The sequence below is a fragment of the Homo sapiens genome, chromosome 17 (genome assembly GCF_000001405.40).
Source record: "Homo sapiens chromosome 17, GRCh38.p14 Primary Assembly".
Taxonomy (NCBI): Eukaryota; Metazoa; Chordata; class Mammalia; order Primates; family Hominidae; genus Homo; species Homo sapiens.
In genome coordinates, this window is record NC_000017.11 from 19,418,019 (window position 1) to 19,428,392 (window position 10,374).

The 10,374-nt window shown below is 44.8% G+C and overlaps 1 long non-coding RNA gene across 1 annotated transcript; it reads left to right on the forward strand.

Moving 5' to 3' along the window:
* The first annotated feature begins 329 nt into the window (after positions 1–329).
* Positions 330–6,339, forward strand: LINC02094 (long intergenic non-protein coding RNA 2094). The gene is made up of 3 exons (NR_186796.1): positions 330–851; positions 929–1,162; positions 5,966–6,339. It is a non-coding gene; the product is annotated as a long intergenic non-protein coding RNA 2094 (long non-coding RNA).
* The last annotated feature ends 4,035 nt before the right edge of the window (positions 6,340–10,374 follow it).

Here is a 10,374-nt window from a genome sequence, read left to right on the forward strand (position 1 = left end):
AACAGATGGCTCAGCAGTGAAGCTATAGTTAACAGGCTGGGGACAAAATACAGAATGTAGAGAAATCCCAAAGCCAGGGTGGGGTTGAGTGGGGTAAAGACAAATGAGAGTGACTCTCTCTTTTAGGGTCTGAGCCAAGGGTGGGAACAGGGTCTTAACTTTGTGTAGTGTTTGTGGAGAAGGACTTTCTGGAAGCATCTTTCTGAGCCCTTCCACTGTCATCTGGTGGACACATGAGCTATGAAACCTTCCAGACTTTGGAGGCTCAGGATGAGGGGGCCCAGAGACTCAGAGAGGGAGGGTGTTACATGGCTAGAATCCCACCCGGCAGCACTGGAAGGAACAACAGTTCAGTGTCTACCTCTCCCCACTCTTTGCACAGATGGGAAGAAGTTGGCCCAGTGAGGGATGTCTCTGCAGAGACAAGATGAGTAATATTAAGTGGTGTTTGTCTTGTGCCTTGTAGCTTTCAAAACATTTCCTCAAACATTATCTCCCTTAAGCCTTGAAATCATCTCAAGCAGTATGTAGAACACACATTTTCACAGAGGAGGACGCTGAAGCTGAGAGAAATAATGTGTCTCAGTGGAAACAACTAGTCAGAGGTAGGCCAGGACTTGACCCCAAGAGTTCTGGTGCCAAATCCCTGGCTCAGTGGAGCCTTCAAGCCTCTCCAGACTCCAAGACGACCAGGCTTCTGGGTTCCAAACCTGATTAGTTGGCTTCCTGGGCTTCCAACATTGATTCTGTAATTCACAAGAGCCCAGGTGTGACTCATTGACCGAGGTCTCAGCAGCATGCTGACGTCTGGCTGGTTTCCCTTCTGTGACCCACTGCAGGTTCCAAGATTGGTAGGTTCCAAGATTGGGTTAGAGGTTTGGTGACTTGCCGTGTGGTTCCTGTTTCTGAGGCCTCCCTCATGTTGCAGATGGCAGTACTGCAAGACAAGAGGAACCTGCGACCTGAAGGCCCTTGACTGCTTGGATCAGGAATAAGCCCTCAACTCCACTGGCTCTCATCAAACCACGCCGCGAGCAAGGAATAAACTTTTACTGCATGAAGGGGATGCGACATCTAGGTCGACTTAGTACACCATCACCCACCCTACTCTAACACACACAGAAATGGGTTCTTTGAAATGGAGTGATGCTGTATCAGACAGGTAAAGTATCACCAGTTGGGGGCTGGGCAGTAAGGAAAAGCATTTTATGTCACAGCAGAACGTTTGCTAAAATTGTTGCCTACGGCAACTTGGAAGACAGACCTTGTGCTATCGAGGAAAAAAAACTATTTTAAATAAAATCTCCTGCCAACCCAGAATATTCTCTCCACAAATGTAGAAAATAAAGAAAATACTAGTTCTGTGATTGAATAAGCATTAAACACATGGATGCATTATCAGCTAACGCAATCATAAAGACAGTCAGAAATCCCCCTATTTATGTAGTCAAGCAGCTACAACCCGTTACACACATGCTGTCATGTGTGAGGACTTGAACTCAGGTGAGAGAGAGCTCCACAGCGTCGTTTGCTATACATGCACTTACAGCGTACCTAATTCACCTGGTGATTGGGGTGGTCATCTGTGCTAATTAGTGCCTTTTTCTGTAGGGAAAATAAAGCAACTTGAATCTCTAGGAAATGCAGTTGTTGGCCGGGCGCAGTGGCTCACATCTGTAATCCCAGCACTTTGGGAGGCCGAGGTGGGCAGATCACGAGGTCAGGAGTTCAAGACCAGCCTGGCCAACATAGTGAAACCCTGTCCCTACTAAAAATACAAAAAATTAGCCAGGTGTGGTGGTGGGCACCTGTAATCCCAGCTACTTGGGAAGCTGAGGCAGGAGAATCACTTGAACCCGGGAGGCGGAGGTTGCAGTGAGCCGAGATCACACCACTGTGCTCCAGCACAGGCGACAGTGTGAGACTCCGTCTCAACAAAAAAAGCAGGTTGTGCAAGGCACCTAGGCACGCCTTGACACACCGTTGGTGACAGCAACATGTCGTCCTTGATGTTACACTTACGAGAGGGGGCTCCCAGCCTTTTCAGAAAAACAGTTTTGGGTTTTAATTCTGGTAAAAGATTTATTTAAACTTTAAAAAGACTTGCATAAGTATCTGAAGGAACAGAGGAAGGATTTACAAATACAGGCTTTCTCAAGGAAATAGAAAGGGGAGGGGGAGAAGGGGTCTCTTTTCCTTTTGGAAACAAAACGAATGCCATCTTATTTTTATTTACCTTTACAGTTTCCCGCCCTTTGTTATCATTATTGTTATTATTATATTTTTGAGAAGGAATCTCACTCTGTCGCCCAGGCTGGAGTGCAGTGGCTCGATCTCAGTTCACTGCAAGCTCCGCCTCCCGGGTTCACACCATTCTCCTGCCTCAGCCTCCCGAGTAGCTGGGACTACAGGCGCCCACGACCATGCCGGGCTACTTTTTCTGTATTTTTAGTAGAGACGGGGTTTCACTGTGTTAGCCAGGATGGTCTCGATCTCCTGACCTCGTGGTCATCCCGTCTCAGCCTCCCAAAGTGCTGGGTATTATTATTTTATAACACTATAATTTATTTATTTACTTATTTATTTATTTATTTATTTTGAGATGGAGTCTCACTGTCTCCCAGGCTGGAGTGCAGTGGCACAATCTCAGCTCACTGCAAGCTCTGCCTCCTGGGTTCACACCATTCTCCTGCCTCAGCCTCCTGAGTAGCTGGGACTACAGGTGCCCACCAGCACTCCTGGCCAATTTTTTGTACTTTTAGTAGAGACGGGGTTTCACCATGTTAGCCAGGATGGTCTCGATCTCCTGACCTCGTGATCCACCCGCCTTGGCCTCCCAAAGTGCTGGGATTACAGGCGTGAGCCACCGCGCCCGGCCAGTAACGCTATAATTTACTAATGATCTCCATTGCTTTTTTTTTTTTTACCTTTCTTTGGGCAGTTTGCAGCCATTAAAATATTCAGCGAGCCCACAGTAAAACAGCAAAGCTGATCAGGCTGTTAGAACAAAACATCATAGACTGACTGGCTTATAAACAACAAAAATTTATTATAGTTCTGGAGGCTGGAACTCCAAGAACAAGGCTCCTGCAGATCTGATGTCTGGTGAGGGCCTGTTTCCTCATAGACTTCCATCTTCTCACTTTCACTTCACATGCTGGAAGGAGTGAAGGGTGTCTCTGGGTTCTCTTCTACAAGGGCACTAATCCCATTCACGAGTTCTCTGTCTTTATGACCTAATCACTCCCAAAGACCCCACCTCCTGATACCATCACCTTGGGGTTAGTTAGGATTTCAACATATGAATTTTGGGTGTACATAAACATTCAGCCTGTTGTAAAAGCAATGATCAGGATCTCAGTGGGATGAATTTAACAGTCAGTAGAATATGTACCTCGGGGAAAAACCTCTAAACACATCATACTAATGGTGAATGGTTAAAGCAAACTTGATTAGCAATGTGCAAAAATTCTCCTTCGGCACACATTAATGTTACAAACTGCCGTGCTGTCTTTATCACTTGCCCTTTCATGTAGTTAACTATTTGAGTATCATTTTGTAGTTGCTTACAAAGTCTTACCCAATCTAAGACTAAGGAGTGGCTTACCTGCAGCACCTATCTAAAAGTTTAAGACTTTTCTTTTTCTTTTTTTTTTCTTTGAGATGGAATTTTGCTCTTGTTGCCTAGGCTGGAGTACAATGGCATAATCTCGGCTCACCACAACCTTTGCCTCCTGGGTTCAAGCAATTCTCCTGCCTCAGCCTCCTGAGTAGCTGGAACTAGAGGCATGCACCACCACGCCCGGCTAATTTTGTACTTTTAGTAGAGACGGGGTTTCGCCATGTTGGTCAGGCTGGTCTCAATCTCCCGACCTCAGGTGATCTGCCCGCCTCGGCCTCCCGAAGTGCTGGGATTACAGGTGTGAGCCACCATGCCCGGCCATGTCCGTGGCTCTTATTATGTTAAGTCTTGAGGACAAACCCACCCATCGGCCATTTTCCACATCAGTCCAATCAATAGTTTTATTATGATAGCAGTATGTCATGCTGAACGAGTGATGAAATCTCAGAGCTTTTTTCTAGCTAATTGCTAAGCTGCTTTATTGCCAAGTCCCTCTGAGATCCTTGTGGTGAATTTTTGTTTGGGCATTACATTACTTCTCAACAGTCCAATTCTGAATTTTTGGCCGTTTCCATTGCAATTGTATTATGTGTTTTTGTAATTGTCTCAAAGCATTAAGTTTATTATTGAAAGTATCAGTATCAACAAGCATTAGCTACGCTTGTCTATTTCTATTCCTCCAAGGACTGTATTTAATGTTTCCTTTTGTCCTTGTATGGCCTCAGATAAGCCCCTTAATAATCAGATTTCATAATGCGAGCGCCTAGGGGATGCAATTCTGGTTATGCAAACTACTTAGCCTCAGACACTTTGTGTCAAACTTAGGGCTTGAGTATTTTGATGCATATTAGTTATGTTAGTGTTCCCAAAAATGCACTTTGGGAGGCCTAGGCAGGTGGATCACCTGAGGTCAGGAGTTCGAGACCAGCCTGGCCAACGTGGTGAAACCCTGTCTCTACTAAAAATACATAAATTAGCCAGGCGTTCACTCCTGTAATCCCAGCACTTTGGGAGACAGAGGCGGGTGGATCATGAGGTCAAGAGATCGAGACCATCCTGGCCAACATGGTCAAACCCTGTCTCTACTAAAAATACAAAAATTAGCCAGGTGCAATGGCAGGCACCTGTAATCCCAGCTACTCGGGAGGCTGAAGCAGGAGAATTGCTTGAACCTGGGAGGTGTGGGTTGCAGTGAGCCGAGATCAGGCCACTGCACTCTAGCCTGGGTGACAGAGCAAGACTCCATCTCAAAAAAAAAAAAAAAATTAGCCAGGCATGGTGGAGGGTGCCTGAAATCCCAGTTACTTGGGAGGCTGAGGCAGAAGAATCGCTTGAACCCGCAAGGTGGAGGTTGCAGTGAGCCGAGATCGTGCCATTGCACTGCAGCCTGGGTGACAAGAGCAAAACCCCGTCTCAAAAAAAAAAAAAAAAAAAATGGTCCCACCTTCACTCTGACGACAATCAGATTGTTAGTCTTATAAATTTGGGCCATATCTATCCTGAAAACACAATATAGAGCAGATGGGAAGTAAATAATTGTGGGGACCATTACTGGGAGTACAGAAAGAAAAGTAGTGTTACAAATAACATGTTTGTTTCTAGTAAATTATGAGTCTTAAAGTAATTGAAATCATCACTGCTGTGAATAGGCCAGCAGGGCTGTTTATGATAATAGTAATAATAAGTTCACAAAAATAGTTCTTTTCAGTTGAATTCAGTACCAATATCATTTATTCTAGAAGATTTAAGTTTCAAGTCCTTGTGGGAATCCAAGTCCAGTTGAAAGCATGAATCCAGCTGGATTTTTATTTCACTTTGATAATCATATCAGAACATGTGAAAGGGTCCCTCGCAGGGTGGTGACAGCCATCTTTCCTCTAGAACACCCTTATGTACATGAAATTACCTGATCGTTTATGGGGTCCAGATTTCCTTTGGCAGATCCTTCTGAATCCTTCTGGTTTTACGTCTCCAGGGAAGAGAGAAGCCCTTTTAAGTACAGAACACAATTATGAGAGGATTCAGTTAAATTGGGCCCAGGACATGGTCTCAGACCCAATTCCTAGGACTGCCAAACATAATTTCAAAGGGAGCAATATGTGCTTGCTTGCAGGGTTGCTCTCATTTTTAACAAGGCTAGCACTAAAGCATGAGGCCATTTTAGGCCAGCAGATTTCTAAATGAGGTTTTAGAGTCGAATTCATCTGCTCTATTTGTCCAGAGGACTGAGGGTAACAGGGAGTATGACAGCATGATTTGCATCATTCCTGAACCACAATAGACTATGGGCTATGTGGACATCCTAGAAAACATAACGTGACAAAAATCTTTTGCCTTCCACAGGCCTTAGTTCTACAGAATCCAGCTGCTGTGAGGTCCCTGGTGAAGCTGGTGGAAGAGAACCTTCTGTATGTACCTGGGGAGTGGGCTTAAAAGAATCCTGTCAACAACCCGCACATCAACATGTTTTGGATGATGCTACCTGCTCAGCAGGCATAGTGAAGTGGAGTGCCTTTAAGATCACTTTTCACTGGGGGATGGTTTTGTTGATGACACAACATTACTAATCAAGCAAATGGGAACCAAGGTACAATATTATTTTGTTAGCTAATTCCCATAGTCCAGTCAGATTTTTTTAGCCCCTTTCTTATTCCATTTGTCAATTTCCTTTTGTGATGCATAGTTTTGAAAGTAAATAAAAATTACTTATGTTAAAAGTGGGACTTCTGGCCGGGCGTGGAGGGCCACACCTGTAATTCCAGCACTTTGGGAGGTGGGGGCAGGCAGATCACTTGAGTCCAGGAGTTCGAGACCAGCCTGAGCAACATGGCTAAACCCCATCTCTACCAAAACTACAAAAATTAGCCGGGCTTGGTGGCGCATGCCTGTGGTCCCAGCTACTTGGGAGGCTGAGGCAGGAGAATCTCTTGGACCCGGGAGGCGGAGGTTGCAGTGAGCCGAGATCACACCACTGCACTTCAGCCTGGGTGACACAGCAAGACCCTGTCTGAAAAAAAGAAAGAAAAAAAAAGTGGGACTTCTAAGTTTGGGTCTGCCATATTTGAAGAGTGGCCTTTGCAGCTCTTCAGTAAAATTATTTCCTTTAGAAATGGCATTGTTTTGCCCATGTGAATGCTACAGTGTAATGCCTCTAAACACTCAGGTCTTAATTTTCTTTTCTTTTGCTTTTCTTTCTTTTTTTTTTTTTTCTTTAAGACAGGGTCTCTTTGCTCTGTTGCACAGGCAGGAGTGCATTGGCATGAACACGACTCACTGTAGACTTGAAATGGGCTCAAGCGATCCTCCTACCTTGGTCTCCAAAGTGCTAGGGTTACAGGTGTGAGCCAGCATGCCTGGCCTCAGCTCTTAATTTTCTGAGATAGTTTACTTCCTGTCAAAGTCAAGAATCTCCTATTTTTCAGAATCTTCCCTGTTGCATGACTGACACTAAACAGACATTTACTATCAGTACGTCCATTCGTTTGAAGTCCTGAGCCAAGCCCTAGTAAATGTAAGCTATTCATTAACTTGAATTGTGCTGAATTGATTCCAGGCAAAATAAGCTCCCACAATTTCATGAGCAGCTACCACAGCATAGGAAGCCTAAGTTGGCTATTTGCATCCTGTATGTGACCCATCGGCAAATGTGATCTGTCAAAAGACAAAAAGCACAAGTTTAAAAATCTTAATCGGCTTTTATTTGTGACTCAAGAATTGGGCAATAACTCATTCTTGTAAAACAGAATGAGTGTTCCGATGAGCTGAACGAGGAGGTTTGGCTTGATAGGCAGAAAAGGGCTGTGGAAAGCAGAAACAGAGAACAAAAAGCAGATGAGTGGTTTCAAAGTGACTTTCCTTGTATGATGGTCCCCAACTTAAAATGACTTAATTTGTAATATTTTTAATTTAGGATGGGTTTATTGGGAGCATCTGCAAAGTTTAAAGCAGAGGGGATGTCCTATCATGCTGGCTAAAACTGGCCTGTTTGGGGATTTGGCTATTATCCCTGTGTGTCCTGATTCCCTGGAAGGTCAGATAAACAATTTAGTTTTGGCTTGTTGGTGTGGAACTTCAGCATGAAGAACCCTATTTTGGTTTGGTCTGTTCGGCCTAGTGCAGAAGCTCACTCCAGACTAATTGCATCCTATAAATTTTATTTAACAGGTCAAAGCTGAATTTTTAACAGAAAAGTCAGATAAATCACATTGGAGCCCAGTGTCTTCTTTTATTACCATTTGTGTTAGGCTGTTCTTACTCTGCTATAAAGAAATACTGGAGAATGGGTAATTTATAAAGAAAAGAGGTTTAATTGGCTCATGGTTCTGCAGGCTTTACAGGAAGCATGGTACTGGCATCTGCCTGGTTTCTGGTGAAGCCTCGGGAAGCTTTCAATCATGGTAGAAGGCGAAGGGGAAACAGGCACATCACATGGCATAAGCAGGAGCAAGTGAGGCAGGTGGTGGCGCGGGTGAGCAGTGGAGGGGGGTTGGGGGAGGTACCACACACTTTTAAGTGACCAGATCTCGCAAGAACTCACTATCAGGAAGACAGCACCATGCCATGAGGGATCCAGCCCCAAGATCCAAACACCTTCCACCAGGCCCCACCTCCAGCATCGGGGATTACAATTCAATCTGAGATTTGGGCAAGGACAAATATCCAGACTAAATCAACATTGTACAACCATGATCATCTATTTGATCAAAGTCTGTTGAGATAGCAGAGTTTAGGAGATTGCATCTCCCAAGCACAATATAGGCATCGGATAATAATGCTTGTTCACAGCTGGTCCCATGGCACACCTACAAGTGTCGGGTCTTATGCACTGGTAAGATAGCTATCACAGTATGGGGGACATAAAAATAAGTCAAATGACTCTAGGGGCCAAGGGAAAACTTCTCCTTCACCCTCTGAATGTTTGCTGAAAAACCAACTCACAAAAGGCAGATTAATATGAGGAATAACATAGAAATTTACTAATGTGCACCAAAGGAAAATCGCAGTGATTATCCCAACCCCTCAATGGGATTCAGAAGCTTACTTACCCTCTTGAGGTTACAGAAAGAATCAGGGCTCAGAGCATGACCCAAACCAGATTACAGTGGTAGATCAGATTATGGCAGTTATGGAGGGGAAGAAGAGGAGGCCTGGCTAGCAAAGGGGGTCTTGTTATGTAGATGAAGCCTCACAGGTAGCGGCCCTTGAGAGAGAATAGGTGGTGAATGTTTCTTTTAGACTTTAAAGGTGTCAGACTCTCAGTTAATCTTTCCCAGGTCTGGATGAGGGAAGGCCTCAGAGACGGCCCGGCTTCGTCAGTGCAGATTTCTCTACAGATGCAAATCTCCCCCACAAAAGGCAGCTTTTTAGTTATTTTTGTATTTCCAGCCCTTCTGAATAGCCATCTTAAACTATATCAAGGAAGTATAGGCTGGGCGCGGTGGCTCACGCCTGTAATCCCAGCACTTTGGGAGGCTGAGGCGAGTGGATCACGAGGTCAGGAGATCGAGACCATCCTGGGTAACACAGTGAAACCCTGCCTCCACTAAAAATACTAAATAAATAAACAAACAAATAAATAAATAAATAAATAAATAAATAAGCCGGGCGTGGTGGTGGGTGCTTGTAGTCCCAGCTACTTGGGAGGCTGAGGCAGGAGAATGGCGTGAACCCGGGAGGCGGAGTTTGCAGTGGGCCAAGATTGCACCACAGCACTCCAGCCTGGGCAACAGAGCGAGACTCCATCTCAAAAAAAAAAAAAAACGAAGTATATTTTGGGGTGAAATATTTTTATTTTCTTCAGTCCCCAGTTTGAGACTTTTACCTTCAGAAAATTTCACATATGGAAAGGCAAGTTGAAGCCAGGTACAATGGCTTACGCCTGTAATCACACACTTTGGGAGGCTGAGGCAGGCGGATTTCCTGAGCTCAGGAGTTTGAGACCAGCCTGGCCAATATGGCGAAACCCTGTCTCTACAAAAAATACAAAAATTAGCCAAGCGTGGTGGTGCATGCGCCTGTAGTCCAGCTACTTGGGAGGCTGAGGTGGGAGGATTGCTTGAGCCCAGGAAGTGGAGGTTTCAGTGAGCCAAGATCGTGTCTCTGCACTCCAACCTGGGTGACAGAGCAAGACAGTGTCTCAAAGAAAAAAAAAAGGCAAGTTGATAGCTTTGAAAAGATTTGAGTTAGAGGTTGTTAGATAAGAAATAGGCAAAGGAGGGGAAAAACAAATTGAGATAAGCAGAAAAGAGCAAATTATATACATTTTCCCATATTCTTTTAAATCACTCTTCATACCGAGAATAAGTCAGTTTGGTTAAACAGCTTTGTCTAGTTTTAGGAGGTGACATTGCAGATGGGATAGGTCTGGAGTGCAGTGGCACAATCTTGGCTCACTGCAACCTCCACCTCCCGAGTTCAAGCAATTCTTCGGCCTCAGCCTCCTGAGTAGCTGGGATTATAAGTGTGCACCACCATGCCTGGCTAATTTTGGTATTTTTAGTAGAGACCAGGTTTTCACCATGTTGTCAGGGCTGGTGTCAAACTCCTGACCTCAGGTGATCCACCTGCCTCAGCCTCCTAAAGTGCAGGGGTTACAGGCTTGAGCCACTGCGCCCGGCCTGTGGTGGCATGCTGACAGATTTTTTGTGGACTGTAGTTCAAATCAGGTGTTCAAGTAACCTTTCTGAGTAGCCCATACACCAGCAGGCATGAAGGCTATTTACATTAAGTTGCTCTGGTGATTTATCCCAAAG